This window comes from Homo sapiens, chromosome 3 (assembly GCF_000001405.40).
Source record: "Homo sapiens chromosome 3, GRCh38.p14 Primary Assembly".
NCBI lineage: Eukaryota > Metazoa > Chordata > Mammalia > Primates > Hominidae > Homo > Homo sapiens.
Window position 1 is genome coordinate 136,207,706 of NC_000003.12, and position 23,636 is coordinate 136,231,341.

At 44.6% G+C, this 23,636-nt stretch overlaps 2 annotated features.

Annotated features, from left to right (window-relative positions):
* Positions 5,662 to 5,956: an enhancer, noted in NCBI's record as "tiled region #3094; HepG2 Activating DNase matched - State 8:EnhW". NCBI's record gives its function as "activates a minimal TATA promoter and a strong SV40 promoter by Sharpr-MPRA in HepG2 cells {active_cell/tissue: HepG2}" and the evidence as "EXISTENCE:reporter gene assay evidence [ECO:0000049][PMID:27701403]".
* Positions 16,355 to 16,901: an enhancer, noted in NCBI's record as "H3K27ac-H3K4me1 hESC enhancer chr3:135942902-135943448 (GRCh37/hg19 assembly coordinates)". NCBI's record gives its function as "activates a minimal SCP1, AML or CMV promoter by ChIP-STARR-seq in naive and primed H9 embryonic stem cells {active_cell/tissue: H9 hESC(naive and primed)}" and the evidence as "EXISTENCE:reporter gene assay evidence [ECO:0000049][PMID:30033119]".

Sequence of the window (23,636 nt, forward strand, 5' to 3'; positions counted from 1 at the left end):
GCTAATTTATAATTCAGAGTAGTAAGGATTTAGGGATCTACTTGACGCAAATCTAAAATGTCTTAGCAGATATGGCTGTTACATTATGAGTTAAACAAGCTTGTGTGGACTTTCCTGAGAAAAATAACTGCAATTATTCATGGCATTGTTTCTAAGGGAAAATGTGTTCTGCATTCCAAACAGTCAATTTAAAATTGAATTTTTGGAATACAGCCCATTTTCCCCTGGGGGCTATTTCTCCATTATCTAAGAATCCCTCTCTGTCTTAGGACAGTTTTCATACACAACTCCCACCTGTTCTACATAGCATATGGTACTACCTGCAGGTTGCATAGTTTCATGGTCATCACCTTCCTCACCTGGGCTCTGCACTACATGTTTAAGATAGTCCTCTGATCAAGCAGGTTGAGTTAAGCAGGTAGGACTGAAGTAGCCCCAAATCTGACTGTTTTAACATTTCACTATTAGAGAAGGTAGTGAGGAAGAGTCCATCAAGTAAGTGATGAAAGTTTGGAATTGCTGCTCTGTGAAAGGGAGAGGGAGTTGATTAAGGACATTAAAAAAGATTACTCATGCGTGTAATCCCAGCATTTTGGGGGCCAAGACGGGCGGATCACGAGGTCAGGAGATTGAAACCATCCTGGCTAACACGGTGAAACCCCATCTCTACTAAAAATACAAAAAAAAAATTAGCCAGGCGTGGTGGCAGGAGCCTGTAGTCCCAGCTACTCGGGAGGCTGAGGCAGGAGAATGGCGTGAACCCGAGAGATGGAGGTTGCAGTGAGCCAAGATCGTGCCACTGTACTCCAGCCTGGGTGACAGAGCGAGACTCTGTCTCAAAAAAAAAAAAAAAAAGATCGCAGGAGTGTTTTAAAAGGGTGCATCTCTTAGATAAAACAGGATTCCCAAAGATATCTAACTATAGAGTCTTAGACAATAAAGGTTTAAAAATGGTCTTTGCAATTCCAAGACAGACTAAGCTAGGAATGAGGTGTTTGTTTGTTTGTTTGTTTGTTTGTTTGTTTGTTTTTGAGACAGGGTCTTGCTCTGTCACCCAAGCTAGAGTGCAGTGGTACGATCAGTCTCACTGCAGCCTCAATCTCCCAGGATCAATGGGTCCTCCCTGCCTCAGCCTCTCAAGTAGCTGAGACTACAGGCGCATGCCACCATGACTAATTTTTGTATTTTTGGTAGACACAGAGTTTTGCCATGTTGCCCAGCCTGGTCTTGAAATCCTGGGCTCAGGCAATCTGCCCACCTTGGGCTCCCAAAGGGCTGGGATTACAGGTGTGAGCCACCATGCCCAGCTGGAATGAAGATTTCTAACCTGAAGTTGAACAAGCTAGACTTTTTGAGCCCTTGTTATTCCTGAGCTTTGAGAGGGAGCATGGGGCAGTGGAATAGCATGAACAAAGCTTTATTTCAATACTTACTGTGTAGATTTGGGAAAAATTATTCAAGTTCTCTGAGCCTTAGTTTTCTTATCTATAAAATGGAGATAATAATAATACCTTGAAGCTGGGCACAGTGGCTCATACCTATAATGCCAGTACTTTGGGAGGCCGAGGTGAGTGGATCACTTGAGTCCAGGAGTTCAAGACCAGCCCAGGCAACATGGTGAAACCCCATTTCTACTAAAAATACAAAAATTGGCCAGGTGTGGTGGCAGGCACCTGTAATCCCAGCTACTTGGGAGGCTGAGGCAGGAAAATCGCTTGAACCTGGGAGGCGGAGGCTGCAGTGAGTCGAGATTGTGCTGTTGTACTCCAGCCTGGGCAACAAGAGCGAAACTCGGTCTCAAAAAAAAAAAAATTATCTGGGCGTGGTGGCACAAACTTAGGAGGCTGAGGTGGGAGGATCATCTGAGCCTGAGAGGTCAAGGCTGCAGTGAGCCATGATCATGCCACTGAGCTGAAGCCTGGGCAACTGAGTGAGATCCTGTCTAAAATAAAAATTAAATATATTAACTCATTTAATATGCTCAACAACACTATGAAGTAAGTACTATTATTATTATCCCCATTTCACACATGAGGAAACTGAGGCACATAGGTCTAATAATTTGTTCAAGGTCACACAGCTAACATAAGGTAAGAATTGAATCCAGGCAGTCTGGTTCCAGAATCGCTACTCTTAACACTATTCTATAAATTCACAAAGGGAGGGAACTCAGTAGGAAAAATAGGTTTGGAGGGAAATTATGAATATAGGTTTTGGACAGGTACAGTGTGAAGTGGCTATGGGACATCCAAATTAAATGTCCAATAGGCAGTTGGATAAATGAATCTGGCATCCTGGGTATAGGGGTGAGGGATTTGATTTGAAGGTATAGACTTGGGAGTCAGCAGCATATGGCAATAGAAACTATGGGAGTGATAGAAATTACCCAGGAGGAGTAAGAAGAGAAGAATGCTAAGAATGAAGTTGTGATGACCACCAATATTTAAACAAAGTGCAGAGGGAAAGGATCCCACAAAAGAGAATCAGAAGGAGAGGTAGGCAGCAAACTGGAAAGATGTTTCATTTTCAGTGAGGTAATGTGTGTAAATAATTTAGCATAATAACCAGCAGACAATAGGCATCCCAAATGGTAACTTCTTTTACCATTAAAGTCTCATTTGAAGGTTATAGTCCTTAACTGTGCTGTGGGGCTTTCCTGAACCTTTTCCACATCCCCACATTGTTTTTTTTTGTTTTTGTTTTTGTTTTTTTAGATGAAGTCTTGCTCTGTCGCCAGGCTGGAGTGCAGGGGCGCAATCTCGGCTCACTCCAACCTCCACATCCCGGGTTCAAGCAATTCTCCTGCCTCAGCCTCCAGAGTAGCTGGGATTACAGGCACATGCCACCATGCCCAGCTAACTTTTGTATTTTTGGTAGAGACAGGGTTTCACCATGTTGGCCAGGCTGGTCTCGAGCTCCTGACCCCAGGTGATCTACCCACCTTGGCCTCCCAAAGTGTTGGGATTACAGGCATGAGCCACCGTGCCCGGCTGCCTTCCAATTCTTAGCAGAGGACTTTACCTCTTTCTTTACCTCCAAGGAGAAAATAAAGATCTCCTTCTTTTCTACATCAAAATATTCCACAATTCCCCTTCCTGTCATTCTTTTCTCTGTTTCTGGTTTCCTCCAGGAATTTGCTCCATGGTTTTCCCAAGTCCTACTTCTTCAGCATCCGGTGGTATAGTGGTGAGCATAGAAACTTTCCAGGTCTTAACGTCTTCAGCCTTCTGTCCCTCACTACTATCTTCCCCAGTTCTGCCCAGCTATGCTGTATGCTCCCAAATCCATCTTTCAGTCCACATCTGTCCTGTTTTGTGATCTGTCAATCTTTTGCAAGAATTAAACCTTATTTTGATTTTTAATTAACTATTTCTTAGTCTCTTAAAATCAGATTTCTCTCCCCACAACTCTACTGAAACGATATTCTTCAAAACTACAGAGGAACTGGGCATAGTGGAGCTTGGCGGTGGGTGGCGCAACCTCCCAGCACTTTGGGAGGTCAAGGTGGGTGGATCCCTTGAGCCCAGGAGTTCGAGACCAGCCTGGGCAACATGGCAAAACCCTGCCTCAGTTTAAAAAAATAAAAATAAACCACAGAAGGCCCCCAGTGTTTGACTTTTTAAAATTATCCAATGACTATTTTGAACATTGCTGTATTAAATTGCCCTTTCTTGTCCCTATGTTATGTCTTGGGCAGATTCCATAACTTTGGTTATTTTTAGTTAATAAAATATAGTCTAATTTAAAACTTTGAATCAGAATTGGATTTAGCCGAAATCAGAGAGAACCTAAAATAACAATGCTAAAGCAAAATAGAAATTGGCTTATTCTATGTAAAAAAGAAAGTCTGGAAGAAAGCCATGCACAGTTAGTATGGCAGTTCCACTGTTATCAGGGATCCAGGCTCTGTCTTCATACTCTACCATCCAAATATATACCTTCTACCTTCAAGGTTATCTAATAGTCCAAGATGGCTCCTGAAGCTTCAGCATTTCACATTTCAACTAACAGCAAGGCAAAACGGGAACACAAGGGCCCACCTCCCAGCTGAGTCAGCACCTTCTAACCAGCCTCCAGTTTTAAGCAGCCCACATAACACTTTTCTTACATTTCTTTGGCCATAATTTAGTCACATTGCCATGCTCAGTTGGAAGGGAATCAGAAAAGTAGTCTTTTAGTGGGTTTGTGAACATGACAAATTCACGTTTTGTTGTTGCTGTTGTTGTTTTCTTTTGTTTTTTTTGAGACAGAGTCTTGCTCTGTCGCCCAGGCTGGAGTGCAGTGGCATGATCTCAGCTCACTGCAAACTCTGCCTCCCAGGTTCAAGCAATTCTCTGCCTCAGCCTCCTGAGTAGCTGGGATTACAGGTGTCCACCGCGACACCCAGCTAATTTTTGTGCTTTTAGTAGAAACGGGGTTTCGCCGTATTGGCCAGGCTGGTCTCGAACTCCTGACCTCGTGATCCACCCACCTCGGCCTCCCAAAGTGCTGGGATTACAGGCGTGAGCCACCGCGCCCAGCCAGAAGTTCTGTTATTAAGGAACAAGGAGGGAATAGACTTTGGGTGGCAACTAGCAATTTCAGCCACAAACTAAACACTTTAAAACATTTAAAAATCTCAACTCTTCCTTTCCCTGTCATTCTTGAAGATCTAGCTTCTCTGGTGTGTTGGTGAAACAGAAGAGAAAACAGGACAAGGGCGGTGGTGCTCTCAGGTCCAGACCAGAAGAGGCAGCTCTGGCCATGCTTCCCTATCTGCCAGGTAGAGGGGTCCACAGAGTAAAGAAAATTTGCCCCAGAGCCTAATAAGTAGCCAAGGGACAGCACTGGTAATAGAGATTATATGTTTGGGTTGGGATGTACATGTTAGGATCCTTAACATATGAGAAAGAGCCAAAGGTAGGAAGAGAAAGGAGGTGGGCCAGCAGCCATGGTTGGGGGACCAATTCTACCTGTGCTGCTGCATTCTGGTATGAAACTCCAAGGATCGGGCTGGGCATGGTGGCTCACACCTGTAATCCCAGCACTTTGGGAGGCCAAAGCTGGTGGATCATCAAGTCAGGAGTTCGAAACCAGCCTGGCCAACATGGTGAAACCTCTACTAAGAATACAAAATACTAAAAATACAAAAATTAGCCAGGCATGGTGGCGTGCACCTGTAGTCCCAGCTACTCAGGAGGCTGAGGCAGGAGAATCGCTTGAACCCAGGAGGCAGAGGTTGCAGTGAGCCGAGACTGTTGCACCATTGTACTCCAGCCTGGGGCAATGGCACTCCAGCCTGGGGCAACAGAGCAAGACACCATCTCAAAAAAAAAAGAAAAAAAGAAAAAGAAAAGAAACTCCAAGGATTTCAAAAATTCTAAATTCAAATCTGGCCTTCCATATTGTTTTGAAACTATATTTGTTCGTTTGTGCTTTTTTGTGTTTGTTTTTGAGGCAGAGTCTTGCTCTGTCACCCTGGCAGGAGTGCAGTGGTGAAATCTCAGCTCACTGAAACCTCCACCTCTGGGGCTCAAGCGAGTCTCCTGCCTCAGCCTCCCGAGTAGCTGGGATTACAGCCATGCACCACCATGCCCAGCTAATTTTTGTATTTTTAGTAGAGAGGAGGGTTTCACCTTATTGGCCAGGCTGGTCTCTAACTCTTGATCTCAAATGATCCATACACCTCAGCCTCCAAAAGTGCTGGGATTACAGGCGTGAGCCACTGTGCCTGGCCTTGAAAATATATTTGTCAAAGCAGAAGGATAAACCTATTTTATTTAAAAGTTTGTTAGTTTGATCAATAATGTGCAAATATTTAGACATATGGTACGTAGGTCACCATTTGTACTTATGCCCTGGGCCCTGCAAATATTCAGAGTGGACCTGGACATGCATCTGTCCAACTGGGAAGGGCCGCAGTTCTGTTTCTGATGGTTGCCACTGTTTCTCTGACCAACTGTCAACTGAAGTTCTGAATAGATGGCAACCAAGTGCAGGGTCTCTCTTGGAGTGCATGTTTGCATTTTTCTAGACCACTTCTGTGTGTCCACTCCACTGCACAGTCCCATGATATGGAAGAATATCTCCGCCTTAACCACTTCCAGAGCCTCTTTCATTCATACTCCCAGCATTCAATCCGCAGCTTCTTGCTGCTAGGACCTCCTTGCCTGGTGATACCTCGCTATAAGGAGTATTGCCAAGATGGCTCACATCCCAGCTATTTTTCTCAGGTCCCCCAGAACAGGACACACTCATCTTTGCTACAGTGGGAGTTTAGTTTTCTCCACAGCCCACCACCAACCCCCATCTGCCATCTCCGGTTCCTTTTCCTTTGCTCAGATCAAGTTCCCAGCCCAATAATACATTCAATCAGAAAACCACTCTTCCCTTCCTGCTCTCCTGCAGCTCCAATCCCACTTGGCACTGGAAATAGAGGAAAAGCACAGCGTCCTTGGGAGGGGAACAAGAAGCCTCTGGCCATAAATGCACAACCAGAAGACTGGACTCTCATGCTCCACTTCTCTGTTTTTCTATGAACTAGGAAGAGTGTTGAGGTGGTGGCAGGTGATGGCAGGGCTGGTTTTGTTGCCTCTTAGTCCTGAAGAAGGTGTTGAGGATACTTAGAGCTTAATTGTCTGCAGTTATAGGCCCAAAGCACCAATTGTGGAACAAAGGAAAGGTATCATTCAACAATATCAACCTACTTTACAAAATCTTAACCCTTATTCTTCTTAACTGTTCTAAAAAAACTTCCTGTTATTCATCACATCTTTCTTTCTAAAACATTCTTCCCTTACAGGGCATGATGGCTCACACCTGTAATCCCAGTACTTTGGGAGGCCAAGATGGGTGGATCACTTGAGGCCAGGAGTTTGAGACCAGCCTGGCCAACGTGGTAAAATACCATATCTATTAAAAATACAAAAATTAGGCCAAGCACGGTGGCTCACGCCTGTAATCCCAACACTTTGGGAGGCCGAGGTAGGGGAATCACTTGAGGTCAGGAGTTCTAGACCAGCCCTGGTGAAACCCCGTCTCTACTAAAAATACAAAAAATTAGCCGGGTGAGGTGGCAGACGCCTGTAGTCCCAGCTACTCGGGAGGCTGAGGCAGGAGAATTGCTTGAACCCTGGAGGTGGAGGTTGCAGTGAACCGAGATCACACCACTGCACTCCAGCCTGGGTGACAGAGTGAGACTGCGTCTCAAAAAAAAAAAAAAAACAAAACAAAAATTAACCAGGCTTGACTGGCATGCGCCTGTAGTCCCAGCTACTTGGGAGGCTGAGTCACGAGAATCACTTGAACCCAGGAGGCAGAGGTTGCAGTGAGCTGAGATCTCACCACTGCACTCCAGCCTGGGCAACAGAGCGATACTCCATCTCAAAAAAAATAAAATTAAAACATTCTTCCTCATTGTTCTGTGATTCTGTAGTGTCCAAGTTATCCTATTTCTGTGTATTCTCTTTCTCTCTTTCATTTGCTGCTGATTCCCTCTCATATCAATTTGATATTATTTTTAGTAGAGAGGGGTCTCCCTATGTTACCCACACTGGTCTCAAACTCCTGGGCTAAAGTGATCCCCCCACCTTGGCCTCCCAAAGTCCTGAGATTACAGGCCTGAATCACCATGCCCAGCCTTCAATTTGATTTTTTTTTTTTTTTTGAGACGGAGTCTCCCTCTGTTGCCCAGGCTGGAATGCAGTGGCAAGATCTCAGCTCACTGCAACCTCTGCCTCCCAGGTTCAAGTGATTCTCCTGCCTCAGCCTCCCGAGTAGCTGGGACTATAGGCAGGCACCACCACGCCCAGCTAATTTTTGTATTTTTAGTAGAAACTGCATTTTGCCATGTTGGCCAGGCTGGTTTCAAACTCCTGACCTCAAGTGATCCATCTGCCTCTGCCTCCCAAAGTGCTGGGATTATAGGCATGAGCCAATGCGCCCAGCCTTCAATTTGATATTAATACTCCTAAATTGAAATCAGCTATTTACATCCGTCTCACTTATTAAACTGTTAGGTTTTTTTGAAGGTCTGATGTATTCATTCATTTAGTTTTGAAGGAATGAATGAATGATTGTATTAATTCAGGCCACAGGGATTTTTTTGTTTGTTTGTTTGTTTGTTTGTTTTTGAGGCAGAGACTAGCTCTATCAGCCAGGCTGGAGTGCAGTGACGCAATCTTGGCTCACTGCAATCTCTGCCTCATGGGTACAAGTGATTCCCCTGCCTCAGCCTCCTGAGTAACTGGGATTACAGGCGCATGCCACCAAGCCAGACTAATTTTTGTATTTTTTTTTTTTTTTTGAGATGGAGTCTCACTCTGTTGCCCCAGGCTGGAGTACAGTGGCGTGATCTCGGCTCACTGCAACCTCCACCTCCAGGGTTCAAGCGATTCTCCTGCCTCAGCCTCCTGAGTAGCTGGGACTACAGGCCTGCGTCACCACACTCAGCTAATTTTGTATTTTTAGTAGAGATGGGGTTTCACCATGTTGGCCAGGCTGGTCTCGAACTCCTGACCTCAAGTGATCCACCCACCTCAGCCACCCAAAGTTCTGGGATTACAGTTGTGAGCCACCCCACCCAGCCCAGGCCACAGTTTTTAGCCTATCTGATTTCATATCTCCATTCTGGTAACTCCTACACTCTCATTAATGGCTTAAATTATCCCTTTTTGAAAAATGATTATATCAACTTCTCTACTTGATGCCTCTTCTGAGCTTCAAATTTGCATCTCAAACTTCTTGCTTCTATCTTCAGCTAGATATCCTTGAGTCACCTTAAAATTTATACATCTAAAGCCAAACTCATCATCTTTTCTCCAATATTCAGATCTCGCTTTCCTATACTCTATTCTATCATTATGTCATCATCTCCCTTTCTGTCAAGTTTATAACCTTAGAGTTACTCTTTGACCATTCCTCCTCAATGTCTTGTCAATTCTTTCTTAAAAAGAACAACAAATCACTTTATTACAAATGTTCATTGTAAATAACTTACAAACACAAACAAAAAGACCACCTATAAATCTACCTGTTAATACAGTTGACCCTTGAACAACATGGGTTTGAACTGTGAGGTTACACATGGATTTTTGCTAATCAAATGAAGATTGAAAATACAGTGTTCTGGCCGGGCGTGGTGGCTCACGCCTGTAATCCCAGCACTTTGGGAGGCCGAGGCGGGTGGATCACGAGGTCAGGAGATTGAGACCATCCTGGCTAACACGGTGAAACCTCATCTCTACCAAAAATACAAAAAATTAGGCAGGCATGGTGGTGGGCACCTGTAGTCCCAGCTGCTAGGGAGGCTGAGGCAGGAGAATGGCGTGAACCCAGGGGCCAGAGCTTGCAGTGAGCTGAGATCGGGCCACTGCATTCCAGCCTGGGCGACAGAGTGAGACTCTGTCTCAGAAAAAAAAAAAAAGAAAATACAGTGTTGCCGGGATGGAAAACCTGCATATACAGAGGAGGGAAGATTTTTGTACATGCAGTTCCACGTGACCAAATGCAGAACTTGAGCTTGCGGGGATTTTGGTATGCTCGGGTGTTCTGGAAGCAACCCCCTGCATATACTGAGAGACGACTGTAATTTGTGGTCTTTACAGACTTTGATTTATGTGTACAGAAATATATGGGTTTTTTTCTATCAAAATGAGATCATGAATATAATTCTATTTTGGAGCTTTTTTTTTTTCACTTGGCAACATGCCATAAACATTTTCCCATGTCATTAAATTTTCTTCTACAACGATAGTGTCACGCGCATCCATGTGAAGAAACTACCAAACAGGCTTTGTGTGAGCAAGAAGGCTGTTTATTTCACCTGGGTGCAGGTGGGCTGAGTGTGAAAAGAGAGTCAGCAAAGGATGGTGGGATTATCATTAGTTCTTATAGGTTTTGGGATAGGTGGTGGAGTTAGGAGCAATGTTTTGTGGGCAGGGGGTGGATCTCACAAAGTACATTCTCAAGGGTGGGGAGAGTTACAAGCAACCTTCTTAAGGGTGGGGGAGATTACAAATAACCTTCTTAAGGGTGGGGGAGATTACAAAGTACATTGATCAGTTAGGGTGGGGCAGAAACAAATCACAGTGGTGGAATGTCATCAGTTAAGGCTATTTTCACTTCTATTGTGGATCTTCAGTTGCTTCAGGCCATCTGGATGTATACGTGCAGGTCACAGGGGATATGATGGCTTAGCTTGGGCTCTGAGGCCTGACATTCCTGTCTTCTTATATTTAAAGAAAAGCAAAACAAAATAGTCGTGAAGTGTTGGAGTGGCGAAAAATTTTGGGGGTGGTATGGAGAGATAATGGGCGATGTTTCTCAGAGCTGCTTTGAGCAGGATTGGGGCAGCATGGGAACCTTCAGTGGGAGAGATTCAACTGAAGAAAGATTTTGGGGTAAGGGGTGATATTGTGGGGTTGTTAGAAGGAGCATTTGTCATATAGAATTATTGGTGATGGCCTGGATGTGGTTTTGTATGAATTGAGAAATTAAACAAAAGACACAAGGTCTGAATAAGAGAAGGAGAAAAACAGGTATTAAAGTACTAAGAATTGGGAGGACCCAGGACATCCAATTAGAAAATGTCCAAGGGGGTTCAGTGTAATTACTTGTTTGGTTGGTGAGTTTTTGGGCTCTATTCTTGACAGAGTCCTTTTTCTTTTTTAAGTTGGAGGCTGAGCTTGGTGAGGTGTGTTTTTAAAAGACCATTAGTCCATTCTACCTTTCCTGAAGATTGAAGACGGTAAGAGGTGTGAAGGTTTCACTGAATACCAAGAGCCTGAGAAACTGCTTGGGTGATTTGACTAGTAAAGGCCAGTCCATTATTGGACCGTATAGCGGTGGGAAGGCCAAACTGAAGAATTACGTCTGACAGAAGGGAAGCAATGACCGTGTCGGCCTTTTCAGATGCTGTGGGAAAGGCCTCTACCCATCCAGTGAAAGTATGTACCCAGACCGAGAGGTATTTTAGTTTCCTGACTTGGGACATGTGAGTAAAGTCAATTTGCCAGTCCTGGGCGGGGGGCAAATCCCCAAGCTTGATGTGTAGGAAGGGAGGGGGCCTGAACAATACCTGAGGAGTAGTAGAATAGCAGATGGAACACTGAGAAGTGATTTCCTTAAGGATAGATTTCCACGATGGAAAGGAAATGAGAGGTTCTAAGAGGTGGGCTAGTGGCTTGTAACCTACATGGAAGAGGTTATGAAATGATGACAGAATAGAATGGGCCTGTGAGGCTAGAAGGAGATACTTTCCTTGGTCCAAGAACCATTTGTCTTGTATGGGAAGAGACTGAAACGTGGAAGTTTCAGTGGGAAAGTAGGTGGGAGTGACCGATGAGAAGGAGAAAAACTGGCCATGAGGTACAGAAGTTGGAATGCTAGCTGCTTCTTTAGGTATCTTATCAGCATAAGCATTGCCCTGAGCGATGGGATCTGATGCCTTTTGGTGGCCCTTGCAGTATGTGACTCCAGCTTCCTTTGGAAGTAAAGCAGCGTTGAGTTTTTATTAAAGAGGCATTAATGATGGAGGACCCTCGCATAGTGAGGAAACCTCTTTCAGCCCATATAACAGCATGGTGGTGCAGGATATGGAAGGCATATTTAGAGTTAGTATAAATATTGATGTGTAATTCCTTTGCAAGAGTGAGGGCTCGAGTTAAGGCAATGAGTTTGGCTTGCTGAGAGGTAGTGGAGGGGGGCAGAGCGGCAGCCTCAATGATAAATGTGGAAGATACTATAGCATAGCCTGCCTTTGCTGGTGTGTGGCAAATAGGCCTGGTGGAACTGCCATCAATAAACCAGGTGTGATCAGGGTGAGGAACAGGAAAGAAGGAAATATGGAGAAATGGAGTGAATGTCAGGTGGATCAGAGAGATACAGTAATGTGGGTCAGGTGTGGTATCAGGAATAATGTGGGAGGCTGGATTGAAGTCCGGGCCAGGAACAATGGTAACTGTGGGAGACTCAACAAAGAGTGAGTACAGCTGAAGGAGCTGGGGAGCAGAAAGTATGTGTCAGGAAAGAAAACAGATTTTTGGAAGTTATGAGAACTGTAGAGAGTGAGTTGAGCATAGTTTGTGATTTTGAGGGCCTCTAAAAATATTAAAGCAGTGGCAGCTGCCGCACGCAGACATGAGGGCTAAGCTAAAACAGTAAGGTCAAGTTGTTTGGACAGAAAGGCTACAGGGCGCAGTCCCGGCTCTTATGTAAGAATTCTGACCGCACAGCCCTGTACTTCGGCTGTGTGTAATGAAAAGGTCTGGGATGAGTTAGGGAGAGTTAGTGTGGGAGCAGCTTTTAGGGCTGTTTTTTAAGGAATGGAAAGGGGAGTGGGGAAAGGATTTAGGATTTATGGGGTCAGCTAGGTTTATCTAGAACAGAATGTGTTGTGGAGGGAGGTATTGAGGATAGGAGAGTATATGGGTTTGGCACCATGGGATGGATAGGCAAGACAATTTGGTTGATAAGGCACAGATCCTGAACTAACCTGTAAGACTTGTCCGGTTTTTGGACAGGTATGGGGGAATCGTAAGGAGAGTTTATAGGCTTTAAAAGGCCATGCTGTAACAGGCAAGTGATAACAGGCTTTAATCCTTTTAAAGCGTGCTGTGGGATGGGATATCAGCGTTGAGCAGGGTAAGGGTGATTAAATTTTAATGGGATGGTAAGGGGTGCATCCTCCATCGCCAAGGAGGGAGTAGAGGTGTCCTATACTTGTGGATTAAGGTGGGGAGATACAAGGAGTGGATGTGAAGGAGGCTTTGAACTGGGAGAAAAGGCGGCAATGAGGTGTGGCTGTAGCCCAGGAATAGTCAGGAAAGCAGATAATTTAGTCAAAATGTCTCAACCTAATAAGGGAGCTGGGCAGGTAGGGATAACTAAAAAGGAGTACACTAAAGAATGTTGTTCAGCCGGGCTCGGTGGCTCACACCTGTAATCCCAGCACTTTGGGAGGCTGAGGCAGGCAGATCACGAGGTCAGGAGATCAAGACTATTCTGGCTAACATGGTGAAACCCCATCTCTACTAAAAATACAAAAAATTAGCCGAGTGCGGTGGCAGCTGCCTGTAGTCCCAGCTGCTTGGGAAGCTGAGGCAGGAGAATGGTGTGAACCTGGGAGGTGGAGCTTGCAGTGAGCCAAGATTGTGCCACTGCACTCCAGCCTGGGTGACAGTGGGAGACTCCGTCTCAAAAAAAAAAAAAGAATATTGTCCAAGTTGGCACCAGAGTTGGGGAGTTTTAAGAGGCTTAGCAGCCTGGCCATCAATACCCACAGTGGTTATGGAGGCAAGGGAAACAGGCCCTTGAAAAGAAGGTAATGTGGAGTGGGTAGCCTCCATACTGATTAAGAAGGGGATGGACTTACCCTCCACCATAAGAGTTACCCGAAGCTTGGCATCCGTGATGGTCCAGGGGGCTTCCGAGGTGATCGGGCAGCATCAGTTTTCAGCTGCTAAGCCAAGGAGATCTGGGAAGGAGTCAGCCAAGGAACATTGGGTTTGGGCTCCAGGGGCTTTAGGAGCAGTGGCGATGTGAGTCGGACAGTCCAACCTCCAGTGGGGACCCACACAGACAGGGCATGGCTTAGGAGGAATCCTGGGCTGCGGGCATTCTGAGGCCCAGTGGCCAGGCTTTTGGCATTTGAAGCAAGGTCCAGGATGATGTTTTGAAGGAGCCCCTGGGAGCTGTGGCTTTGATGTTCTGAAGTTCTTGTATGCTGGAGATGTGGGTTGTCTTACAGTGGGTTGTCTTACAGTGGAGGTAAGTAGCTGTAACTCAGAAATGCATTGCTGTCTGGCTACCTCCTCTCTATTATTGTACACCTTGAAGGTGAGGTTGATTAATTCCTGTTGTGGGGTTTGAGGGTTGGATTCCAATTTTTGAACCTTTTTTCTGATGTCAGGAGCTGACTGGGTGATAAAATGTGTATTAAGAATAAGGCAGCCTTCTCACCTCTCTGGGTCTAAGGCAGTAAAGCGTCTAAGTGTTGCTGCTAAGCGGGCCATGAACTGGGCTGGGTTTTCATCTTTACCTTGGGTAGTTTCTTTAAGTTTGTCTAATTAACAGCTTTGTAAGCTGCCTTTTTAAGCCCTTCAACTAGGCAGGAAACCATGTAATCTCCCCTAGCTATACCTGAGGAATCTGCCTGATAGTTCCATTGGGGATCTTCTCGGGGAACTGCTCTAATGCCTTCCTGGAGGTCTGGCTCATGAAGCCAGAGGTTATCGGCATGAGTTTGGGCTAGAGAAAAAACTCTTTCCTGTTAATCTGGGGAGAGGGTAGAAGTTAGGATGACATTTAAGTCACTCCACGTTAAATTGTAGGACAGAGTTAGATATCGGAATTCCTGTGTATATTTAATGGGGTCTGATGAGAAATAGCCTAAATGCTGGCTGATTTGGGAAAGGTCTGATAGAGAAAAAGGCACGTGTACCCTGACTATGCCTTCAGCTCCAGCCACCTCTCTAAGAGGAAATTGTTGGGCAGGTGGGGGAGAGCTAGTTGCAGAATGAAACCATAAACCAGACCAGGTGTGGGGAGGGGAGGTAATAGAAGGGTTATGGGGGGTGGGGGGAGCAGAGGCTGAAGAAGAGTTGGAGCCTGATTCAGCCTGGTGGGGAGCGACCTGAGGAGAAACAGTCTGGGGAGGAGGTGAGAGGTCAGATGGGTCAGTAGAAAAGGAAGATTCACAAGACTCAGCGACGCTTGGGGTTGGGACTGAAGGGACAGGTGGGAGGGAAAGAAGGAGGATTTGGGATGAGTTGCATTGGGAACAGGGACTAGGGAGGGAATGAAGTGTAAAAAATGCTGGGATGTATGGCACTTCAGACCATTTGCCCATTTTTCAACAAAAATTATCTAGGTCTCGTAGGATGGAGAAACCAAAAGTGCCATTTTCTGGCCATTTAGAACCATTGTCGAGTTTGTATTGGGGCCAAGCGGTGTTGCAGAAGAAAATAAGATGCTTAGATTTTAGGTCAGGTGAGAGTTGAAGAGGTTTTAAGTTCTTGAGAATACAGGCTAAGGGAGAAGAAGGAGGAATGGAGGGTGGAAGGTTACCCATAGTGAAGGAGGCAAGTTTAAAGGGAAGGGTAGAGACATGGAGAAGGGGAGCAGCCCTGGGCTGCAATGTGGGTGAGCAGCCAAAGCAGGTGTCCCCGCAATTGACTTGCCACCAAGGGAATGTGGATGAATGACCAAGGCAGGCATCCCTGCGGTGATCAGACACCAATGGAATGTGGGCGAATAATCAGGCAGGCATCCCCACAGTGATGAAACACCAAGGGAAGACTGTCTTCCCAAGTCTGTGACCAGTGCCGGAGTTTTGGGTCTGCAGATAAAATGTGTCTCCTTTGTCTCTACTAGGGAGGAAAAATAACTGGAATTGGAAGGACAGGGAGATTGAAGGGTAGCAACAGAGGCTGGAGAAGAGAGTGAAAACACTGCTTACCTGATTTGAAATTGGTGAGATGTTCCTTGGGCTGGTTGGTCTGAGGACCTGAGGTCATAGGTGGATCTCTTCATGGAGTGAGGGTGAGGACAGGGGACTGGTCTCCCGAAGGAGTCCTCTTGTCCTGGGTCTTCAGCACCAAATGTCACATGTGTCCGTGTGAAGGGAGTCCACCAACAGGCTTTGTGTGAGCAACAAGGCTGTTTATTTCACCTGGGTGCAGGCGGAGTGAGTCCGAAAAAGGAATCAGCAAAGGGTAGTGGGATTATCATTAGTTCTTACAGGTTTTGGGATAGGCAGTGGAGTTAGGAGCAATGTTTTGCAGGCAGGGGGTGGATCTCACAAAGTACATTCTTAAGGGTGGGGAGAGTTACAACCTTCTTAAGGGTGGGGGAGATTACAAAGTACATCGATCAGTTAGGGTGGAGCAGAAAAAAATCACAATGGTGGAATGTAATCAGTTAAGGCTATTTTCACTTCTTTTGTGGATCTTCAGTTGCTTCAGGCCATCTGGATTTATACGTGCAGATCACAGGGGATATGATGGCTTAACTTGGGCTCAGAGGCCTGACAGTTCTCAAATTGTAGTCCCAGCAGCATCAGCATCACCTAGGAGCTTGTAAATGCAAATTTCTGGACATCACCCAGACCCACTGAATCAGAAACTGTGGGAGTGAGCCCAGCAAATTGTGCTTTAACAAGCCCTCTATGTAATTCTGATGTACACAGCAGTTTGAGAACCACTGTTCTACCACAAGATTTTTTTTTTTTTTTTGAGACGGAGTCTCACCCTGTCGCCCAGGCTGGGGTGCAGTGGCGCTATCTCAGCTCACTACAGGCTCCGCCTCCCAGGCTCACGCCATTCTCCTGCCTCAACCTCCCAAGTAGCTGGGACTACAGGCGCCCCCCACCACGCCTGGCTAATTTTTTTGTATTTTTAGTAGAGACGGGGTTTCACTGTGTTAGCCAGGATGGTCTCAATCTCCTGACCTCGTGGTCTGCCTGCCTTGGCCTCCCAAAGTGCTGGGATTACAGGCGTGAGCCACTGCACCCAGCCTACCATATGACTTTTTAACAGCTGATGCTATTCCATTGAATAGCAGTATAACAATCTACTTAACTACACTGCTATTGTTGGACATTGAGGCTATTACTTTCCACACTTTAGATGGCTGAATAGGAACAGCTCCAGTCTACAGCTCCCAGCGTGAGTGACGCAGAAGACGGGTGATTTCTGCATTTCCATCTGAGGTACTGGGTTCATCTCACTAGGGAGTGCCAGACAGTGGGCGCAAGACAGTGGATGCAGCACACCGTGCACGAGCTGAAGCAGGGCGAGGCATTGCCTCACTCAGGAAGCACAAGGGGTCAGGGAGTTCCCTTTCCGAGTCAAAGAAAGGGGTGACAGACGGCACCTGGAAAATCGGGTCACTCCCACCCTAATACTGTGCTTTTCTGACGGGCTTAAAAAACGGTGCACCAGGAGATTATATCCCGCACCTGGCTCGGAGGGTCCTACGCCCACGGAGTCTCGCTGATTGCTAGCACAGCAGTCTGAGATCAAACTGCAAGGCAGCAGCGAGGCTGGGGGAGGGGTGCCCACCATTGCCCAGGCTTGCTTAGGTAAACAAAGCAGCCGGGAAGCTCGAATTGGGTGGAGCCCACCACAGCTCAAGGAGGGCTGTCTGCCTCTGTAGGCTCCACCTCTGGGGGCAGGGCACAGACAAACAAAAAGACAGCAGTAACCTCTGCAGACTTAAATGTCCCTATCTGACAGCTTTGAAGAGAGCAGTGGTTATCCCAGCATGCAGCTGGAGATCTGAGAAAGGGCAGACTGCCTCCTCAAGTGGGTCCCTAACCCCTGACCCCCGAGCAGCCTAACTGGGAGGCACCCCCCAGTAGGGGCAGACTGACACCTCACACGGCCAGGTACTCCTCTGAGACAAAACTTTCAGAGGAATGATCAGACAGCAGCATTCGCAGTTCACGAAAATCCGCTTTTCTGCAGACACCGCTGCTGATACCCAGGCAAACAGGGTCTGGAGTGGACCTCTAGCAAACTCCAACAGACCTGCAGCTGAGAGTCCTGTCTGTTAGAAGGAAAACTAACAAACAGACAGGACATCCACACCAAAAACCCATCTGTACATCACCATCATCAAAGACCAAAAGTAGATAAAACCACAAAGATGGGGAAAAAACAGAGCAGAAAAACTGGAAACTCTAAAAAGCAGAGCGCCTCTCCTCCAAAGGAACGCAGTTCCTCACCAGCAACAGAACAAAGCTGGATAGAGAATGACTTTGACGAGTTGAGAGAAGAAGGCTTCAGACGATCAAACTACTCTGAGCTACAGGAGGAAATTCAAACCAAAGGCAAAGAAGTTAAAAACTTTGAAAAAAATTTAGACGCATGTATAGCTAGAATAACCAATACAGAGAAGTGCTTAAAGGAGCTGATGGAGCTGAAAGCCAAGGCTCCAGAACTACGTGAAGAATGCAGAAGCCTCAGGAGCCGATGCGATCAACTGGAAGAAAGGATATCAGAGATGGAAGATGAAATGAATGAAATGAAGCGAGAAGGGAAGTTTAGAGAAAAAAGAATAAAAAGAAACAAACAAAGTCTCCAAGAAATATGGGACTATTGGAAAAGACCAAATCTACGTCTGATTGGTGTACCTGAAAGTGACGGGGAGAATGGAACCAAGTTGGAAAACACTCTTCAGGATATTATCCAGGAGAACTTCCCCAATCTAGCAAGGCAGGCCAACATTCAGATTCAGGAAATACAGAGAACACCACAAAGATACTCCTCGAGAATAGCAACCCAAGACACATAATTGTCAGATTCAACAAAGTTGAAATGAAGGAAAAAATGTTAAGGGCAGCCAGAGAGAAAGGTCGGGTTACCCACAAAGGGAAGCCCATCAGACTAAGAGCCGATCTCTCGGCAGAAACTCTACAAGCCAGAAGAGAGTGGGGGCCAATATTCAACATTCTTAAAGACAAGAATTTTCAACCCAGAATTTCATATCCAGCCAAACTAAGCTTCATAAGTGAAGGAGAAATAAAATACTTTACAGACAAGCAAATGCTGAGAGATTTTGTCACCACCAGGCCTGCCCTAAAAGAGCTCCTGAAGGAAGCACTAAACATGGAAAGGAACAACCAGTACCAGCCACTGCAAAATCATGCCAAATTGTAAAGACCATCAAGGCTGGGAAGAAACTGTATCAACTAATGAGCAAAATAACCAGCTAACATCATAATGACAGGATCAAATTCACACATAACAATATTAACTTTAAATGGAAATGGACTAAATGCTCCAATTAAAAGACACAGACTGGCAAATTGGATAAAGAGTCAAGACCCATCAGTGTGCTGTATTCAGGAAACCCATCTCACGTGCAAAGACACACATAAGCTCAAAATAAAAGGATGGAGGAAGATCTACCAAGCAAACGGAAAGCAAAAAAAGGCAGGGGTTGCAATCCTAGTCTCTGATAAAACAGACTTTAAACCAACAAAGATCAAAAGAGACAAAGAAGGCCATTACATAATGGTAAAGGGATCAATTCAACAAGAAGAGCTAACTATCCTAAATATATATTCACTCAATACAGGAGCACCCAGATTCATAAAGCAAGTCCTGAGTGACCTACAAAGAGACTTAGACTCCCACACAATAATAATGGGAGACTTTAACACCCCACTCTCAATATTAGACAGATCAATGAGACAGAAAGTCAACAAGGATACCCAGGAATTGAACTCAGCTCTGCACCAAGCGGACCTAATAGACATCTACAGAACTCTCCACCCCAAATCAACAGAATATACATTTTTTTCAGCACCACGTCGCACCTATTCCAAAATTGACCACATAGTTGGAAGTAAAGCAATCCTCAGCAAATGTAAAAGAATAGAAATTATAACAAACTGTCTCTCAGACCACAGTGCAATCAAACTAGAACTCAGGATTAAGAAACTCACTCAAAACCGCTCAACTACATGGAAACTGAACAACCTGCTCCTGAATGACTACCGGGTACATAACAAAATGAAGGCAGAAATAAAGATGTTCTTTGAAACCAACGAGAACAAAGACACAACATACCAGAATCTCTGGGACACATTCAAAGCAGTGTGTAGAGGGAAATTTATAGCACTAAATGCCCACAAGAGAAAGCAGGAAAGATCCAAAATTGACACCCTAACATCACAATTAAAAGAACTAGAAAAGCAAGAGCAAACACATTCAAAAGCTAGCAGAAGGCAAGAAATAACTAAAATCAGAGCAGAACTGAAGGAAATAGAGACACAAAAAACCCTTCAAAAAATTAATGAATCCAGGAGCTGGTTTTTTGAAAAGATCAACAAAATTGATAGACCGCTAGCAAGACTAATAAAGAAGAAAAGAGAGAAGAATCAAATAGACACAATAAAAAATGATAAAGGAGATATCACCACTGATCCCACAGAAATACAAACTACCATCAGAGAATACTACAAACACCTCTATGCAAATAAACTAGAAAATCTAGAAGAAATGGATAAATTCCTCGACACATACACCCTCCCAACACTAAACCAGGAAGAAGTTGAATAGTCTTGAATTGGTCTCTGAATAGACCAATAACAGGCTCTGAAATTGTGGCAATAATCAATAGCTTACCAACCAAAAAGAGTCCAGGACCAGATGGATTCACAGCCAAATTCTACCAGAGGTACAAGGAGGAACTGGTACCATTCCTTCTGAAACTATTCCAATCAACAGAAAAAGAGGGAATCCTCCCTAACTCTCCCTGTTATGTCCCTGGCAGAGACATAACAAAAAAAGAGAATTTTAGACCAATATCCCTGATGAACATTCACGCAAATATCCTCAATAAAATACTGGCAAACCGAATCCAGCAGCACATCAAAAAGCTTAGCCACCATGATCAAGTTGGCTTCATCCCTGGGAGGCAAGGCTGGTTCAATATACACAAATCAATAAATGTAATCCAGCATATGAACAGAACCAAAGACAAAAACGACATGATTATCTCAATACATGCAGAAAAGGCCTTTGACAAAATTCAACAACGCTTCATGCTAAAAACTCTCAATACATTAGGTATTGATGGGACGTATCTCAAAATAATAAGAGCTATTTATTACAAACCCACAGCCAATATCATACTGAATGGGCAAAAACTGGAAGCATTCCCTTTGAAAACTGGCACAAGACAGGGATGTCCTCTCTCACCACTCCTATTCAACATAGTGTTGGAAGTTCTGGCCAGGGCAATCAGGCAGGAGAAGGAAATAAAGGGTATTCAATTAGGAAAAGAGGAAGTCAAATTTTCCCTGTTTGCAGACGACATGATTGTATATCTAGAAAACCCCATTGTCTCAGCCCAAAATCTTCTTAAGCTGATAAGCAACTTCAGCAAAGTCTCAGGATACAAAATCAATGTGGAAAAATCACAAGCATTCTTATACACCAGTAACAGACAAACAGAGAGCCAAATCATGAGTGAACTCCCATTCACAATTGCTTCAAAGAGAATAAAATACCTAGGAATCCAACCTACAAGGGATGTGAAGGACCTCTTCAAGGAGAACTACAAACCACTGCTCAATGAAATAAAAGACGACACAAACAAATGGAAGAACATTCCATGCTCATGGATAGGAAGAATCAATATCGTGAAAATGGCCATACTGCCCAAGGTAATTTATAGATTCAATGCCATCCCCATCAAGCTACCAATGACTTTCTTCACAGAATTGGAAAAAACTACCTTAAAGTTCATATGGAACCAAAAAAGAGCCCGCATCACCAAGTCAATCCTAAGCCAAAAGAACAAAGCTGGAGGCATCATGCTACCTGACTTCAAACTATACTACAAGGCTACAGTAACCAAAACAGCATGGTACTGGTACCAAAACAGAGATATAGATCAATGGAACAGAACAGAGCCCTCAGAAATAACGCCGCATATCTACAACTATCTGATCTTTGACAAACCTGAGAAAAGCAATGGGGAAAGGGTTCCCTATTTAATAAATGGTGCTGGGAAAACTGGCTAGCCATATGTAGAAAGCTGAAACTGGATCCCTTCCTTACACCTTATACAAAAATTAATTCAAGATGGATTAAAGACTTAAATGTTAGACCTAAAACCATAAAAACCCTAGAAGAAAACCTAGGCATTACCATTCAGGACATAGGCATGGGCAAGGACTTCATGTCTAAAACACCAAAAGCAATGGCAACAAAAGCCAAAATTGACAAATGGGATCTAATTAAACTAAAGAGCTTCTGCACAGCAAAAGAAACTACCATCAGAGTGAACAGGCAACCCACAAAATGGGAGAAAATTTTCACAACCTACTCATCTGATAAAGGGCTAATATCCAGAATTTACAAAGAACTCAAACAAATTTACAAAAAAAAAAAAACAACCCCATCAAAAAGTGGGCAAAGGACATGAACAGACACTTCTCAAAAGAAGACATTTATGCAGCCAAAAAACACATGAAAAAATGCTCACCATCACTGGCCATCAGAGAAATGCAAATCAAAACCACAATGAGAGACCATCTCACACCAGTTAGCATGGCAATCATTAAAAAGTCAGGAAACAACAGGTGCTGGAGAGGATGTGGAGAAATAGGAACACTTTTACACTGCTGGTGGGAATGTAAACTAGTTCAACCATTGTGGAAGTCAGTGTGGCGATTCCTCAGGGATGTAGAACTGGAAATACCATTTGACCCAGCCATCCCATTACTGGGTATATACCCAAAGGACTATAAATCATGCTGCTATAAAGACACATGCACACGTATGTTTATTGCGGCACTATTCACAATAGCAAAGGCTTGGAACCAACCCAAATATCCAACAATGATAGACTGGATTAAGAAAATGTGGCACATATACACCATGGAATACTATGCAGCCATAAAAAATGATGAGTTCATGTCCTTTGTAGGGACATGGATGAAATTGGAAATCATCATTCTCATTAAACTATCGCAAGGACAAAAAACCAAACACCGCATGTTCTCACTCATAGGTGGGAACTGAACAATGAGAACACATGGACACAGGAAGGGGAACATCATACTTTGGGGACTGTTGTGGGGTGGGGGGAGCGGGGAGGGATAGCATTAGGAGATATACCTAATGCTAAATGACGAGTTAATGGGTGCAGCACACCAGCATGGCATATGTATACATATGTAACTAACCTGCACATTGTGCACATGTACCCTAAAACTTAAAGTATAATAATAATAAAAGAAAAAGAAAAAAAAACCACTACAGTGAAGCCGGGAGCGGTGGCTCATGCCTGTAATCCCAGCACTTTAGGAGGTCAAGGCAGGCTTATCACCTGAGGTTGGGAGTTCAAGACCACCCTGACCAACATGGAGAAACCCTGTCTCTACTAATAATACAAAAAAATTAGTTGGGCATGGTGGTGCATGCCTGTAATCCCAGCTACTTGGGAGGCTGAGGCAGGAGAATCACTTAAATCCAGGAGGCGGAGGTTGCAGTGAGCCAAGATCGCACCATTGCACTCCAGCCTGGGCAACAAGAGCAAAAGTTCGTTTCCAAAAAAAACCCCAAAAAACAAAAAACAAAAAACAAAAAACAGTACAGTGAATACTGTTGCACTTAAACTTTGATGATGTCCGTGGGAGGAAATAAACTACTGTTTTATTTAGACCACTGTATTTACGTATTTTTATTATTTTTTTTTTGAGACAGAGTCTTTTTCTGTCACCCAGGCTGGAGAGCAGTGGTGTGATCTTGCCTCACTCCAACCTCTGCCACCTGGGTTCAAGTGATTCTTGTGCCTCAGCCTCCCAAGTAGCTGGGATTACAGGTGTGTGCCACCATGCCCAGCTAATTTTTGTATTTTTAGTAGATATGGTGTTTTGCCATGTTGGTCAGACTGGTCTTGAACTCCTGGCCTCAAGTGATCTGCCTGCCTTTGCCTCCCAAAATGCTGGGATTACAGGTGTGAGCCATCATGCCTGGCCAGGCCATTGTATTTAGCAGTTCTTTTATACAGCAACTTAGTTTTTTTCCTAATATACCTTCTTCACTTCAGACCTACAGTAGGCTTTTTGTTTTGTTTTGTTTTTTCCCTAGACTAAATGCTGCAGTAGACTTTTAAAGCAGATCTCCTAATATATCTAC